The sequence below is a fragment of the Homo sapiens genome, chromosome 12, assembly GCF_000001405.40.
Source record: "Homo sapiens chromosome 12, GRCh38.p14 Primary Assembly".
In the NCBI taxonomy this organism is placed as follows: Eukaryota; Metazoa; Chordata; class Mammalia; order Primates; family Hominidae; genus Homo; species Homo sapiens.
In genome coordinates, this window is record NC_000012.12 from 59,070,281 (window position 1) to 59,087,808 (window position 17,528).

Below are 17,528 nucleotides of genomic sequence, written 5' to 3' on the forward strand. Positions count from 1 at the left end.
AGTATTGTCACTGGTAAATGTGAAATAGGGTGGGTTTTTGTTTTCTTTTCTTCTCACTGACCTTATCTTTTACATATTCTGATTATTCTTGAACCAGTAGCTTAAGTATAGATGCAAAAGTGATGAGAGTTTGACTTAGCTTTGGCTTTTATTATCAGATACCCACAAGGAAATAAAGCTTTGATCTACTTCCTTGGAAAGTTAATCCCAGTGATTATGTGGAGATGTGTGCAGTGTTAGCTACAGGGATATACATCTTTAATCTCTTGGCGTTGAATACTTAATCCAGTTCAGATTCTTGGCAAGGAGATTTAAAGAAAGAACAAAATAATTACACTCTTCATGGGCTTTGTTTTCTGGAATGAATATTTGGTAGCTCTGCCTGGTGTTTTACTGTTTAACTGGAGTGCTTAGGAAAATAGATTTGTGTTTACTTGGAGTGATGTAAAAGCTGATTTTTGTGGTCCTCGGTAGGTAAATTTAAAGTATGTCTATTAACTACGGGGCATTTTGGGGAGGGCTTTTACTCTTCAGCTTGTTTATTTTGGCAGAGTGAAGGCTGAATAGAGAATGCACTATTTCCTGTGGAATAATTTCACAGTTATTCTAAAACTGGAACTACTCATTAAAAAGTGTTCATCTTTTCTTCATGTAAATAAAAACTTCATATGCTATTGTAGGCCATAAAAATGCCCACTAAATTTAAATGTAACACGGCTTCATTAGAAAAAGATTTTAAACTAATCATATTTATTTTTTAAAATGCTACTCCAACTTATTGAGAAAATGTGGATTAGGTTAAAATATATTTAAACAAATGTTATTAGGTAACCCATTAGCTCAAATAATATATGTTTTCTTTTGGTTTACATTACACATTATAATCCATAACTACATATCTAAAAAGGAAGATAGAAAACAATAGAAATCTCGTCAACCTTACATAAACATTAAAATATTCATGATGCTTTAATGCGGTAGATACAAAGTTAGTATCTTCCAATTAGTATTATAATTTTTTTCTGCATATTAATCCTTATCATGCATAAATATAATCTTATACCTGCATAATATGCCATCAAGTTTATTACCATAATTTACTTGACTACGCTTCTAGTTTTCTTTCTCTGTTTCGAATAATGCCAGAACTTATTTGTATTGAAAATATGAAATGCTAGCAAAGTGAAGAACATCATTTTATTATTTATGCTAAGTCTTTATTCCTGATTAAAAGAAGATATAAGCAGACCTGTTAGAAATTAATCCTGATATCAGAACAAGGATGAGTGAAATTTTGCACAGGTCTCACTCATTTTAAAATTAATAACCCATATTTGGGTGTTTTTATTGGGTATTTTATATTGACATATAAAACAAATATTTACATAATTTGACTTTTACTTAGAAGTAATTTTTGGTTACTAATATATTAGCAGTTTGCTAGTAATTCAAGTTCAGCCATTTATGTTAATGCATCACAAACAGAAGTAGCCTTTCTTCTTCCCCCTTTCCTTAAGTAGTGTAGCTCTTGTTTCTTCTGTGATTTAGGCTCCAAAGTTTTGTGTCCTTTTTAATTGTCTTCTAAAAGTGCATGTTCCCAATGAGGTAAAATTAAATCTTCAGAATTGTGTCTCAGTAATGAATAGAATCACAACTGGGCAATAGTTGGGTAAAAGTTTCTGGGTCATTTGGGAGAAGACATGTTTGATTTTACATCTTATCAAAATATTTTTTTTAAAGAATTCCTGAAATACTCCCTGGAAAATGTGTCATGGTTTAAGTGTCTCCAAAGTTTTCTTAGAATTTCAAAAGAGTTTTCAGTGTGGACACATATACATTAAGAATATACTTGAAGCTATGTTGTTTTTCTGGACCCCCTCTAAAGGAAGAATGTAAGAAGGTGTTTTAAGTTGTGTTAGTTTAGTTTTGTTTTTAAACTGAATTGATAGAATACTCTGGCATTAGGCAGACAAAGAATAAATTTTGCTTGTAATTAGCTCTAAGTATTCCTTCTTACATAGCTTTGCTTCCTGTGTTTTACCTACCCTGTTCAATGCCAATTTATAGAGGTGAGTGACGGCTACCTCTGTATTTTTTATTCAGGAACTTTCCCAAGAGTAGAGAGAATAAAATCTTCGAAAAGAATATTTCATTCAACATAAAACTTTGTTTTCCATTCCATTTTTGAAGCCAACCTTAACATTGTAGGGGATGCCTGGCTTAGGCAAAAGCATTCTGTCTCTCTCTCTTGATCCATGCCCATGGCTCTCTGTACATAACGTGTATAAGGTGTGTAGTGGTTTCAGAAGAGGAGGGGGAGCTGTAGGGAATAAAAAGTTCATGTTAAGCAGGAGTAACACGTGCCGGGTAAAGGAAGATTAACCTCATTCTTAGAATATGTGTTTTTCCTCAACTCACAAAGAAAAATCATTTCATAGATAAGAAGAGTGTCAATCCTTGTCACGGAGCCTTTTGAAGTCATCATTTATAGTGCTTATTTGAGTATTGTTATCCTTTCTCTCTGGATACTGCAAAATCTTTAGTGTGCTTGGATTTCCATGGCCAACTCTACAAGAATTTAGATCAGTGTTGCTTAAAGTGGGGACCAAGGATCTATGTGGGTCCCAGAACTGTTTGTTAGTACCTGATGATGAGATAAAAAGTTGGGGTCAGAATTGCTAAGCATATTGTTTATTCATTTAATGTTTTTTATGTAGCTAGACTTTCTTGATTATTTCCTGGAGTGCTGGAAACAAACAAAGACAGGTTACCTTGAGTAGCAGTTATTTATCTTTCGGCCTCTGTATTAATGTTAAATATGCGAAAACATTTAAGTACTTGTTGTGAAAAAATGAATGTTTGCTGATAAAACTGTACAGCAGCCTGGAGAGTCAGAGATCCTGGGCCTTAGTTTAGACCCTGGTGCCTACCAACTGTGTGACCTGAAGCAACCATCTCTGGATTTCTTCATTTGCAAAGTGAGCTGGAATTGTTGTGGATTAAACATTTTAATGACATGTAAGAAATTTAAAGGAATGAGTGCATCGAAGCATTACATTCTCACATCCAGACTCACGTTGTTAACATATTAAAATTGACCATTGATTGAATGAGAGGACAGGGGCTAAATGTGTTAAGTTTAAAATTTAATTTAGATACTCCACAACTCTTATCCCTTGAATATTTCCCATCTTTAAACGCATACTTTGGTAGGCCAAAAAATCTTCTTGTGGTCATAGTGTGTCTTCATTGCTATAATAATGTTCTGGAAATATACTCTAGCCAAAAATCTCATTTATTTCCCTGCCACTGTTGTGAAGAACCATGACAACATCTATTTTCTCTTTTTTACAAATCCACAAGACCTAACAACCTTTAATCTGCAGAAGAATATATTAAAAGTTGACAATGTTTTTTCTGCACCGCTATGTATGGTAAAACCTTACTCGTTTTCTCATTTTTTACTCATGACAATAGCAATATAAGTAGGTGTTGCAGATATTTCAGTGATACTTCAAACAGGATCTTTTCCATGAGGCAAACAGAACCAAATGCAAAGTTGAAAAACATTAAGAAAAGGTATTTTGCTAGAAACAGAAATAGCATTTCAAGTGATTTGTTTTGGGAAAAGCTTGCAACGTTACCAAAAATTAACATAAGTAAATTTGTTCTTTTTATTAAACAGAAATATCATTCAATAAGCTGGTCAACTAATGTCATTCGAATCTGGGTTGGGGGTGGTTTTCCAGGTTGTATTTTGGGGTGTGTGTGTATGAGTTTGCATTATTGTCCTTTTCCTCTTTCCATCCCTCTCAGTAATCTGTCACTGTCCACTGGGTTGAATGCATTGGAACCTCTTTTTTTTTTTTTTTTTTTTTTTTTTTTTTTTTTTGAGACGGTGTCTCGCTCTGTTGCCCAGGCTGGAGAGTGTAGTGGCACAATCTTGGCTCACTGCAACCTCCTCCTCCCAGGTTCAAGCAATTCTCCTGCCTCAGCCTTCCAAGTAGCTGGGACTACAGGCAAGCACCACCATGCCTGGCTAATTTTTGTACTTGTAGTAGAGACGGGGTTTCACCATGTTGGCCAGGCTGGTCTTGAACTCCTGACCTCAGGCGATCCACCCACTTGGGTCTTCCAAAGTGCTGGGACTACAGGTGTGAGCCACCACGCCCAGCTGGAGCCTCTCTTTAGTGTTCCAGATGCCTCCATAATGTAGGAGTACCCAGTATTTTCCAATTCCTTTTCTCCCTAATTGTTTGCATAGTGCATCCCACAAGTCCAAGTTGACTACTATTCCAGATCTCTTCTCCAACACCACATCCCTGTTCTTTTGGTATCTTTCCATCTAGAGCCTTTTGCCTAAATTGCTTACTTACTCATTTCCAACTCAAATTTGAAGTCAACAAGCTGTTATAGGTTTAGCCCACTGCTGTATTTTGACAAGGTAGGTGCTCACATGAATATTTGTTGAGTTAAATTATTTAAATACAACCTGCCAAAAGCTGGGTCAGTTTCTTCTTTCTTGATATCAGATTCCTAACACTTCAGTTGGACGTGCTAGCTATCTCCTTTAGACATATACAGCATTTTCTTTGAACACATCTTGTGACATTTATACTAGTATCATGTTAAAAACACAGGATTTGTTGTCAGACAGAAGTTCAAACCTCGGCTGTCAAATCTTGAACATGTGATTAAATTTCTCAAGGATGCAGTATGTTCTGTCAGGTGAGGATGTTGATGCCTACCTCATAAACTTCCATGAAGATTACATGGCATAATATGTATGCAAAGTGCTTTGCTTCCTGTAAGCATTTCATCATCATAATAGCAAACACTTGTACATACTAATGTGCCAGGCACTGTTTTAAATTCTTTATGTTTGATAACTCATTTGTTCCTCACCACACAATGAAACAGACGCTATTCTCCCTGTTTCCCACCTGAAGAAACTAAATCACAGAAGGATAAATTATCTTTCCAAGCACACAGACCTGGCAGGCTGTAAGAGTCAGGATTAAAACCAGGATGTCTGGGCTGTGCATTTAGCCACTCTGGTATACAGCTGCTCAGGAGTTGTGTATTGTTCTCTCCTCCTTATCATAAGGAAGCGTGTAATGTAATGGAAAGTGTCATGAAACTTGAATTTTACTTCTAGATTATCAGCAGCTGTTTACTCTTAGGCAAGTCATTTATTCTCTTTAAGCCGTAGTTTGGTATTCTTATCTAGGAAAAAAAGGATTTGAGTAGCAATCACCTTCTTTTTGTCTTCCTGGCATTCTTTTTTGGGGGAATTGCCCCTCTTCCAGTGTATTCCAGAAGGACTCTCAGTCACTGTCAGTGGCCATCAGCTCCGCTACTGCAGGGCTTCCTACTCCCAGACAGAGATGGTCTGTGACTCCCCTGGGTTGAGCATATGAGCAATGCAGGATTAGAATAGTGTGTATTTGTGGCCGGGCGCGGTGGCTCACACCTGTAATCCCAGCACTTTGGGAGGCCGAGGCGGGCAGATCACGAGCTCAGGAGATAGAGACCATCCTGGCCAACATGGTGAAACCCCGTCTCTACTAAAAATACAAAAATTAGCTGGGCGTGGTGGCGCATGCCTGTAATCCCAGCTACTCAGGAGTCTGAGAAAGGAGAATCACTTGAACCCGGGAGGTGGAGGTTGCAGTGAGCTGAAGCCGAGATTGGCCGCTGCACTCCATCCTGGTGACAGAGCGAGACTCAGTCTCAAAAAAAAAAAAAAAAAAAAAAAGGAATAGTGTGTATTTGTAAACTGTATAGAACTGGGGGAAAGCAAGCCCTTTTGTATTTTTCAAAATACATAAGCTGAAATAATCATGAAGGCATGAAGCTGTCAGGGACCATCTCTGCCACCAGATGGAGAGAATTTGCTTGAGACAGAATCCAAAATAAAGAAAGCAGAGATGTGAAATGCGGTTTGGGTGGAGAGAGACAGAGAGAAAGAGAGACAGAATGACCATTATGACAATGAGTTTGGTACCTGGATTCAGCTATATCTGAAGTCAGTCTACTGCTATACTTTTCAGTTTTGTGATCCAACAAAACACTTGTCTCCCCTACAGACAAGTTTGAGTTGGCGTTCTTTCATTTGTAAGAGAAAAAGTTCTTATTCACACAGACTTAAGGAGATCATCTCCCTTTTAACTACAGTGTTTTGTAAACTTAAGTTTCATTATATCTTTGCAGTCATAAAGAAATATATTTTTGAGCAAACAGATATTCAATGAATTTTTAAAAAATAAATTGAATTGTTGAGCCTATGTAATTCAGGATAAAAATAGGTGTATCTGGGATCTTGAACATATATTTCAAATGACTTTTATAGTTTCTTGGTGATTGACTACTTTGATCATGATCTAAAATAATTTAAAGCCAATGTTTCATTGGCTTAGATATTTTTCTTAACCAGCTGACTTCTTCTAAACCTTGTTTGGAAAGTCAACACTCTAGAGGACTGATGCAAATTAAAGTGTTTTCCTGGGCACAGAGATAAGTGTCTTCCTGAAATCACAAGCAAAACACAAGATAGAATTGTTGAGGGTTGAGTAGGATGTAAAGGGAATTTCCAGTCATTGCCTCTGCAAAATAATATAGGGTCAGAAAGTTCAAAGGGGCTCTGGGAAGGAAAGAACAGAATGGCCCCCTCAATCAGAATTATATCCATTTTATGTTAAAACCACCGAACTACTTTCAATCTGGTACATATGTATTATACATATACCTACTGCAGCTTACATGCAAATGTGTTCATATACTTAGAACCACATGCAATGATCCCCTCTGCAATTATTCACAAATTAATCCTCCAAAAAGAAAGCAAGCTCTCTTAAATCTCTCCCATGTGCCAGGAAGTATGCTAAATGCTTTATACATTATCTCATAATTCTCTCAACAGAGATATGAGACAGATCTCTCCCATTTTATAGATGGTGAAATTGAGATTTAGAGTTTAAATAACTTGCTCAAAGTCTCACACCTACGAAGCAGTTTAAGTCATTCTGGCTTAAATACTCAACTTTAATCACTGTGCTATGTTGCCCCTCCCAGGTGTAATCTGTTTTAAAGATAAAAATACAGAGATATTGCCTGCCCAACAAAAGAGGTTGTAAAGTTTAGTATTCTTGGAACGAGGCAGAAGGAGTGGGTATATGATACATGGGAAAAAATCAAGTTATAAACATTTAGGAGGCTAATACTGGGGGAAAAAAGACGAAGACACATATTCCCTTCCTAGAAGTGATAAATCCTATTTACTGAGACTTAGTTTATTTTATGTAAATTCTATGTTTAACGTGAACTCATAGTTTCACAGCTCAAACCTGTTTGGCTGCTAACATCCTCCTTAGAGCTCTGCCAGCCAGAAAGTAAGCCAAACAGCAAAGCAATGCATGCTACAGCCTGCCAGATGCAGCTGCTGAAATCTAGCAGCAGATTTAGTGTTTCCTGTAGAGGCCTCCTAAAAACAAAAGTTCCCAGCTTGTTTGTATGTGACCAGCTTATGTTTCCATGATGCCTTGGACCATGGCTTTTTAGGGGTCATTTCATTTCATAAACCTTGTTCTGACTCTATAGGGAGTCCACTGCGTTCACACAGCCATGCTCATGGATATAATGAAATTTGATTTTTAAGTGGAAAATACATTGTTTATTATTAGCTTACAAACCAGACTTTTCCAAATCATGCAAAAGATTAGGGCAGTGTTTGATGCAACGTTCATCCATTTACTGAGGTGATGGAGACAAGGTCATGCTTGCTGATGAGATGAAACTTTAAATGCCTTGAAAATGTGGGAGGTCTTTGTGAGACTAAGCAAGGAATTCCATATAGCACAACACACACAGTGTTAGCTAGCTGCCCACATCTGTGTGTGGCTCAAGCAGAAATAGTGATGGAGTCTCTTAGAGCTAGGGATTGGTTCCCAACGGCCTCAACCCAAAGAGTTATACAAGCTTTGGGGAATAGTTTTAGTGTAATTGCACATGTGGTTCTTTTTTGTGACGTCAATCTAAGAGCCGATTCAACATTACTGAACCTTAGATTTTTGTCTCAAACACTTCTTTAAAAGTTTAGAAGATGCAATATTTCCTTATATCTAGCTTAATGTATTTGTTACATAAGCTTCTATAGAATGAGGTTATGAGAAAACATACTTGATATTTTTACCTAGCAAGTGTTTTAATAATTTGAGGCATTATACTTTATTTTTGTTAACACTTACTGAAAGCTGTCTGTATATTAGACATATAATATATATTTAGTCTCCATGTAAGGTTTAGTGCATTTTATTCCTTTGCTCCCTTTGTTGCTGTCTCCCTTTACTAGAATGTAAGCACTACAAGGGGAAGTTGTTTTGTCTGTTTTATCCAGTGATAAATCCTAAGCACCTCCAATCATGATTGGCTCAGTTAGGTTTTTAATAAATACGTTTTGTACAAATGAACAGGGAGTATACTCAGGGTTTTATAGACATATCCCTTTGAATCTTCATATCAACCCATATAAGCATGTTATGTTTTCATTCCTATTCACTGATAAGGAAAATGAGGCTTTGAGAATTTAAATAACAATTTCTCAAGTCCATATAGCAGATAAATAATCAGCCTGAATTCAATTATTGAACTCTTTCTCCGAACTCCATGTTTCTGATTTCTGGTATACGTTCTCCTCTTAAGCAATTGTGTGTAAAATCTGAGTTGTATGGCTAAAATGTCAGGCTCTCTTCTGGATAAAGAAAGTCCCAGAGGGGAGGAGAAGGGTTGTCATGGTCTCTAGAACCCCAGGGAGTTTCTGGGGTGCATCACTGTCTTTGCCACCTAGTCTGACTGTCAGAAGGCTGGGGAAGAGGTCATCATTTTGAGGTTCCTCTTTTACTTGTCTGACAGTGAAACAGCTATGGAGAAGAAAGAACCAGGCACCTAGTGAAGCATTAAGAAATCATTCCTAGCCCTGTCTCTCGATTTCTTCATCAGCTTGGGTGTGTCTGTGTTCTCGAAAATACACAGGTTTGAACAGAGCATGTTTGTGGTTTGGATTTAAAGAGGAAGGAAAAAAGAGAAAAGGATTGAAGAAAAAGCAAGGCAAATAAAGGAAATGAGTGCTTCCGACACTGAGGAAAAATAAAGTTATAAAAACAAATACTAAGAACGGTATATTCATTAGAAGCTATTCTCCTTCTAGAACAGGAGAAAAATTCTCCATAACATTGGTACCAAAATATGCAGTCAAATCTTCCTAGAACCCTGGGGTCGTGAGTGTTTCACCAGCCACTTGCTGCTGTCGTTCTGATCTGCCTATTAGTCTTATTCGCTTGATCATTCTCCTCTACCTCTCCCTTGTTCTTTTGTTCATGGTTTTGCACCTCTTGAATGGGAAGTCTGAGTGATGACTCAGACATATTAAGACACATTTTATGCATTAAGATTTTTTAAAAATGGCATGTAGACACTAACATCATGCTTTTCCTAAAGACAGAATTACGTTTGCCTGGAATTCTGTGTTGAAAAATCTGAAGATGCACTAATAAATACTTGATGCCTAGTACCTTGACCTTCTCTTTGGGGACCAAGATCTAGCTTGAATATTATCTGTGACCTTTTAGGTTATTTAACTAAACTGAATAATTAAAAGTTTTTTATTGTTCAGTAACCTGAAAGTAGGGTGTGCATTTGAGAGGTGGGTGGAAAGCGAAAAGAATGGACATAAGAAGGTTATTATTTCCCCTTCAAATAACATTCCCAAAGACTCATAACACTTTGATTGCTAGCATGGTACACAACTGTGACTGTCAGCACTGGCTGCCATTACCTGGGGAGATTTTTAAAAAGTGCTTATACTTGGGTCTACCCCAAACAAATTAAATCAATCTCTAGCAGAGAGGCTTGGGCATTGAAATTTTGTGAAAGCTTCCCAGGTGATTATAATATGCAGCTAGGACTGAGAGCCTACCTGGAGTAGAATAAGGATTTCATGCTTTAGAGTCTGATAAGCCTGTATTTCAATTCCAGATATGCCACTTTTTGTGCCAAGTGACATTGGGCAAGTTTTTGAAACTTCCGCAACTTATGTTCTTACTCTATGTAAGGAGCCAGTGTGTCTTCATCAGAGGATCATTTTAAAGATAAGATGAGAAAACATATGTGATATAGCTAGTATAGTACCTAGCATGTAATTGGTGTTTAATAAATTAGGATTATCACCTCTATCATCATCATTAGGCTTGGAAGAGACCATTGTTTCTACAGGTAAACATTACATGGTAATAGAGAAGAGCAGACATGCACTGGAGACCACTCCAGCCATCTGCTCTTTGTCCGATGGAATATATACTATGAGTATTTCTACTACTTTATCCAATCTATCTTTGAGCCACAGTACTGCAATGATCGAAGCTATTCTGACAAGTTTCTACCACCAATGGATAAAGAGTTCTAAATATTAAGACACTTCTTTCAACATTTAGTTTATTCAATTAATTCTGATTCTACTATGCTTTTGGAACCTTCCAATGTGCTAACAATTTTAAAGCACTTATCTTTTTTTTTTTTTTTTTTTAGACGGAGTCTCGCTCTGTCGCTCAGGCTGGAGTGCAGTGGCACGATCTCTGCTCACTGCAAGCTCCGCCTCGCAGTTCACGCCATTCTCCTGCCTCAGCCTCCTGAGTAGCTGGGACTACAGGTGCCTGCCACCGCGCCTGGCTAATTTTTTATATTTTTAGTAGAGACGGGGTTTCACCGTGTTAGCCAGGATGGTCTCGATCTCCTGACCTTGTGATCTGCCTGCCTCGGCCTCCTAAAGTGCTGGGATTACAGGCGTGAGCCACCGCACCTGGCCAAGCATTTATCTTATTATATTGTAGATTTCATCAGCCTTTGGCAATATTAAAAATCAATTTATTTATTTATTTATTATTTATTTTTGAGGCGAAGTCTCGCTCTGTCACCCAGTACAGTGGGGAGATCTCAGCTCAGTGCAACCTCCACCTCCTGGTTTCAAGCGATTCTCATGCCTCAGCCTCCCAAGTAGCTGGGATTACAGACATCCGCCACCATGCCCAGCTAATTTTTGTATTTTTAGTAGAGACGGGGTTTCACCATGTTGGCCAGTTTGGTCTCGAACTCCTGACCTCAAGTGATCTGCCCATCTCAGTCTTGGACATTACAGGCGTGAGCCACCGCATCCAGCCAAAAATCAATTTATCTCAGTAACATGTTCAAAATAGATAGGAAGCCATACCACGTTTTTGCTCCTTGAATCACAACTTGATCTTGAATCCATTGTCATGGATTCTACCTTCCTCTATGTAAACCAGGCATTTCATTAGCTATGGAGGTGCAGACTGGATTAAACCCATCTATAAAACTGGTAAAACCCAAAATACTGTTCACTATGAATGAGACTCACTTGAATTAGTAGTCTTGCACAAAATAAATACCCATGACTATTGAATTGAGAGGCACTACTCTACTGTTTAACAGAAACAAAGTAATTTTCCTAATACTGATTTGTGTACTTAAAAAAATCTACAAATGTGTCAAGGAGAAAGTTTAATCTCCATTTTCCGTATTCTAGGAAGGCAGATAGACTATGACTTTGATAAATGACACCAGTGTTCTCACAGGCACTGTTCCTTAAAATCATTTGTGACTTGTGACCAATAAACCAAATGGATCTACTACATCTTAAACTTAGGATTTACTTTTGAAATCTCTCTCCAATGTTTTGCTTTTCTCAGTGACTCTAGCCTGGCGCTAATCTTCATGGTCTTTTGTCTCTTCATCTTAATCTCTGCACCTGCCAACACATTCATACAATTAATCCAGATATCTTTCCTGGTCCTTTTCTTTCCTTATTCATGAATCTTTAATAACTCCTTGTATTTGTAATAAAATCCAAATCATGTGAAAAAATGGAAAGAGTTTGACTTACTTGAGTTTGGAGATAAACAGATCTGGGTTTGGATCCTGGCTTTGTGGCTTTTAGCTGTGTGAATGTGAGTATATTATTATTTTTCTCTAAGCCTGTTTTGTTATTTGTAAAATAAAGATAAAAATAACTGTCTCAAGGTTGAAATAAGCATTACATGAAATAACTTCTGCAAATCACTTAGTATAGTGTCTGGCCCCTAGTGAAAGCTCAATTAACATCAGTCACTTTTCTGACCCCCTGATTCTAGACCTGACCCACCTTTCCAGTTCTGTCTCTCACTGTGGTCTCCCTCTGTCTCTCACATATCCTTACTTCCCTTCCCTGCCTACTGTCACTGTATACATGTATCTTCCATTCCACTGCTTCTATGGCTTTATTCATCTATATATTCATGGGGTTCTCTTTGTCACAAATGCATTTTTTTGAAATTTCTGATCAGTTCTTCTCTTACACTTTCTTGAGCTTTCTAGTCAAAATTGATCTCTAACTCCCTACTCATAATCCTTGTCATACCTTCACTGATCTTTCTATCTGTCTTCAGATCCATTTCATGATGTTGTTTGCACCCACCTCCTCCACCTGATTACGAGCCCCTTAAGGGCAGGGGCAGGGCCTTTCTCATCTTTGTCTGTACCTGCCCATCTCCCTCACCCCTTCCAGAGGGCTAGGAAAACTTCTTGAAAAGGAAACACTCGAGAATAATTCTGTGAATATATTAATTATTTAGCAAATTCATTGTACTGTTGAAATGATAAAACATTGACATGGGTAGGATGGTAATATGATTATTATTAATTATATAACTAGAAAAATTAATCAAGTCCACCGAGCTCAAGTAACTTCCTAGAGTAATATTATGAAAAAAAATTCTCGTGACTTGAAAGCTGTTATAAAATCCCTTAACAGGCCATGGGGACTAAAGTACACCCAGTAAGCTCACAGCAATACAACACTAAGATTAAGGCAGTAGAAGAAAAATCAAAAGGCAAATTGTTGAGATGCAGGATAATGTGTGCATGACCCAAGAGTATAGGTAATTTAGTTATTCTTATTCTGGCCAGGGGAGCCTGGAGGATAATCATCTCTTCATTCTCACTGTTCGCATTGGCTAGTAGAGAAGTAGAATAAATAGAGGAGAGGACAGAATTCTGAGATTAGTATAAACCAGTACTCCATCTTCTTCGATGGTTTATATTAACCATGCCTTTGTCTTCCTCTTGTTTATATATTTCATGTGTAATAGATCTCTGTAAATAGTACATACTGATTAGGTTTCTCTGTCATATTTTAATTCACTTGATGATGACCTTTAGTTTTTCCATTTAAATATAAAAATATTGAAAACATTATAATTATTTAATGTTTCCACAGTTAGTCACAGGTTTTTTTTTTTTTTCCTGAATCTTTCATTTATGCTTAGTGGATAGGGTTACCAACCAGCCCAGCTGAGATGAAAGGGTTTTCTGGGACATGGGACTTTCAGTGACAAGACTGACACAACTTCTAAGGAACTAAAAAACTGTACCATGCTAAAGGATTTTTCAACTTTTCAGAAAGAACTCTGAGTATTGTTTCTTTTTACAAGGTGTTTGCAATGTAGTTGAGGGAATATGATGCATGAAGCCAAATACAGGACAATTCAAAAGAGAATGAAATCTAACATAAATGGGAATGGTGCAGAATATAGGGATGCAATGTTTTAGAACTGGGAGTGTCAGGAGGATAACAAGGAGGAGGCTACTTTGCAAAAATCAGCCTAGAGTGGTAATGCTCAGAAGGCTAGAAGCTTAGAAACTCAAGAGGAAAGGGATGAGGCGTAAACAGAGAAGAGACATGGTATGAGTATGAAACAGTGAGGAATTTAGCAGCCTGACCTGTGGCTGGTGAGAGTGAGCTGAGGTGCTGCAGAAATAAATGGATTCAGTAAATACAAACTGAAATAAAGTCTGACAAGGATGCAGTAGGAGATAACTTTTGTCTGGCTTTCCGACATTAGCTGGAATAATTGGGTAGTGGCTGCAATAATGATTTATATTTGATTACTCAAATTTCACACAATGATAATATATGCTTCTCATGAAATAAACCACCTCATGTGTTACCAGTGCAAGTACATGTTTAAATGAATGGCCATTATGCAGTGAGCCAAAGAGAAAGACAACATCTCTCATGAAATGTTTTGTGTGGTGAAATACTCTATAGCAAAACCAAAGAAGTTTCAGCAAAGAAAATAAATAACTGCTCTTTTCAAAGAGAGTTTTTGCCCTTTATCTGATATTGGCAGCCCCAGAGGTTTGGCTTATAGAAAGCACCTTTGCCATTTGTTTTATTGCTTCTCTGTAAGTTATTTGCCTCCAATTTTTAGCAGCTGCATTATTTTTCTAATCCTTCTCAATTAACATACCCTCTGCATCATCGAAGAACTCTGAAATAGAAGAGGAAGTTACATAGGAATGACATTCCATCTTTCCTGAAGAACAATTTTCCTGTTAGACATTCAGAAGGAAGAATGTGAGTTTTTTTTCTTCATTTGTTACCAGTCTCTGCTTAAAATTCAGATGAACTGCAGTTTCTGTGACTGGTTATGCTTTAATATGAACTCTGTAAAAAATTCCCCCCTTTTTTTAACCACTCTTTTTCTCTCCTCAAAAGCAAGCTCTTGTCGAAGAGGAAAGGAGAACTCTGCTTCTCAAAGTAAACAGGCCTGCTGAGCAGAGCCCGTGGCCCATAGAAAGCCCACCCCTTCAGAAGGAAATCAGATCCTTGGGCGAAAGAGGTAAAGAAAAAAAGAGCAGCTGTTAAAACATTTAGTCTGTTTTTCTGCTCAGCCCCTGCTGGTCCCCTTGCTTCTCAGCTCCGTGTACTGTACTCGGTGTTGTGTGCTGGAAATGCAGGACCCTCACTGTGGGGCAAGCATATGAACAAGGACATTCCCTGGCCTCCGCATCCTCGCGGCCATCTTCGGCCTCTCCACCCTCCTTGCTACATTCCTGGAGGACAGTCGAAAGATTGATTGGATGATTTTTTGGCAGCTATTTGCAGAGCCTGCAGCCACAGCTTGGTTTAATTAGGGAATCAGAGCGTTTCTTTTATGTAGGTCACATTAGGTTTTGATTCCAGATCTCATACAGCTAGAACCTTTCTAAAAAGTCAGAAATACATGTACAACTGGCAGGCTTTTCTTTCTCTCTCTCTCTTTTTTTTTTTTTTTTTAGAAAAAAAGGTTTTTAAAATAGTTCTCATCTGGGTCATGTATGCTAGTGTAGCCGTTTTCTGTGTCCTTTTGTCTAATTATCAGAATAAGAGTGATATTCTACTTTTCTTCCATGAAGCTCCTGTTGTCTGATGTACATATGCTGAACACATATTATAAAATTACTGGCAGGGATCTGGGGGTGGTGGGAGGGTTAATGGTTATTTGTTTGCTTCTTTGTGCTTTTGCACCCGAAAGGTTTAATGGGTTCCCTTTCTATGGAATCTAATCCTGAAGAATCCAGGGAGAATGTAAAAACAATTATCCAGTTAATCTTTGTGCTGTAGTTAGGAATAAATACAAGGCAGTAAGAGAGATAGGAGACTGGGCATTGTAATGACACTGCAGGAACTGAAACCCAAAATTAAATATTCTCGGATTATAGGCAGCCCTTAGGAAACCTTGTCTAAAGAGTTTATGATGCACAAAGAATACTTCTTGGTAGGTAGCCAAGTAAGAGCCGCTAATGATTATGGACGTCTGAATGATGAACATGGATTCTAGTATTGCCTTAGAAAAAAAACCTAAGCTAATACTATTTGCCTTTCAGAAATTTGTTACAATTAGGACATGATTCTGATTTAAATTGTGCTTCAGGTACCATGTTATATGTATACTTCTGCTTATAGGAAATTTGAAATTTTAGCAGTCAAATAAAACATAAATGCTAAACATTTAAACATTAAAGAGCAAGACAGCCACCTTCACCACTTCCAAAAAATATATTTGCAGAGTATTTGCTGATATAGGCAATGCGTACTTAACTGACTAATGTGATTTTGTGTAGTCTACCACCCAGAGATGATTAATTAGGCTACTCAGTGAGGGTCATGCAAACAAGTTTTAACGTTACAGGCTCTCAGGAGTGTGAAGCAGTGTCCTGTTTACATTTCCTGGATGGTTAAATGAAGAGCGGTGTGAAACACTGAAATGAAATACGATGAAACATTTCAAGTTGTGTACCTCTCAAAATGTTAAGAGGGGCTATTATCCCTCAAAGCCTGCAGATTCAATCAATTTCAAATTGTTAAAAGCAGCTGGAAGGAGACGTCTGTCAATGGAGGAGGTGTCTTGTCTGTTGGAGAGACTCACAGACTCTTGGTCTCATTATTTTCAGAACGAAAAGGGAACCACAGCTGTCTGTTCTGATACATCTGATTAAACTGCTACACCAAGGGTCAGAAAGAGATGGAGGAACTCTAAGTTGAGCTTTGGAAGCAATAGTTTCAGGGCATCTATTGACTTTCCAAACTTCTTATTGGGCGGGAAGTATCACAATAATAGGACTTGCCATCAGACATCTGGCATGATCATTGTTGGAACCACATCATTGAAACTGCCTGTCTAAGGATATTTTACTCTTGTTCTCCTCTCTTGCAACTCTCACCCCAATGAATAATATCCAAGAAGAATAAAATGAATTCATTATGGTTTCAAATTGCCCAAGGCAGAAATGTTGCCTTTACATTTCAGAAGAGGAGATAGCACTGGTACCAAATGTATAGAAAGGGTGGAGTTTATCTATTACCAAATCAAATTTAAGTTGCCAAAGGTCTCTTGCCTATCATCTTACTTTTTTTTAGAAAAGTGTCTTAACTATAGCTCTTGTGTCTCTCTGCTGTCACTCAATTCATTCTGTAGAATATAGAGTTCCATATTTTTATTATGATTGGAGTTAAACCACAGACCCTCACAAATTTGTAGTTGGTGGTAGTTCAGTACACCTAAATTAAAAAAATAAAAATAAAAAAATCCACAGTGTATTTTATAGAGCTGCAATGCCCCCTTCTGTCTGCAGTGCCTGGGGTGGAAAAACTCACTTGGGTTTATGAGTTGATTGTGGCAAGTGAAAACAATGTTTATACTTTTCTTATAATGGTTCAACTACACACATGAGAGGGCTGTAAACCAGCAGTGACAGTGATCATTCAAATTCTATCCCTTCTATTCCATTTCCTCATTTGGCCTCCTATAATCTATAGGAAATTAATATAACACTGATGATTGCTGCCATTGGCCAGAAAACCCAATTATCTGTGTGGCTGTGAAGGTGGATTAGTAATGTCCTTTTTACTGTGATATGTAGGTAACCTAAGATGTACATTTAAAGAGCAACAAGTGTGTTTCAGCCACTAGAATCTTGATGGGAATGATTAGTTAGACTTACATGTCTATTTGTCTATCTGCATAAACTTCATTGATTCCCTATAAGACCATGCTATAATTTATAAAACATGTACAGTACAGATTATGTCTTAACTCCTAATAACTTCTCAAAAAGGAATTGATGATACCCTTAGCCAGAACTAATCAGAGAAAAAA

At 37.5% G+C, this 17,528-nt stretch overlaps 1 long non-coding RNA gene across 1 annotated transcript in view, besides 1 other annotated feature; it reads left to right on the forward strand.

The window, feature by feature from the left end:
- LRIG3-DT (LRIG3 divergent transcript) overlaps window positions 1-17,528 on the forward strand; it is a 210,172-nt gene that overhangs the window by 149,577 nt on the left and 43,067 nt on the right. The gene's annotated exons all lie outside the window — the stretch shown is intronic.
- Window positions 11,794-11,963: an enhancer, noted in NCBI's record as "experimental_30249 CRE fragment used in MPRA reporter constructs". NCBI's record gives its function as "activates a minimal promoter by MPRAs in K562 erythroleukemia cells, with activity observed for both the introgressed and non-introgressed 12:59475940 variant alleles {active_cell/tissue: K562}" and the evidence as "EXISTENCE:reporter gene assay evidence [ECO:0000049][PMID:34662402]".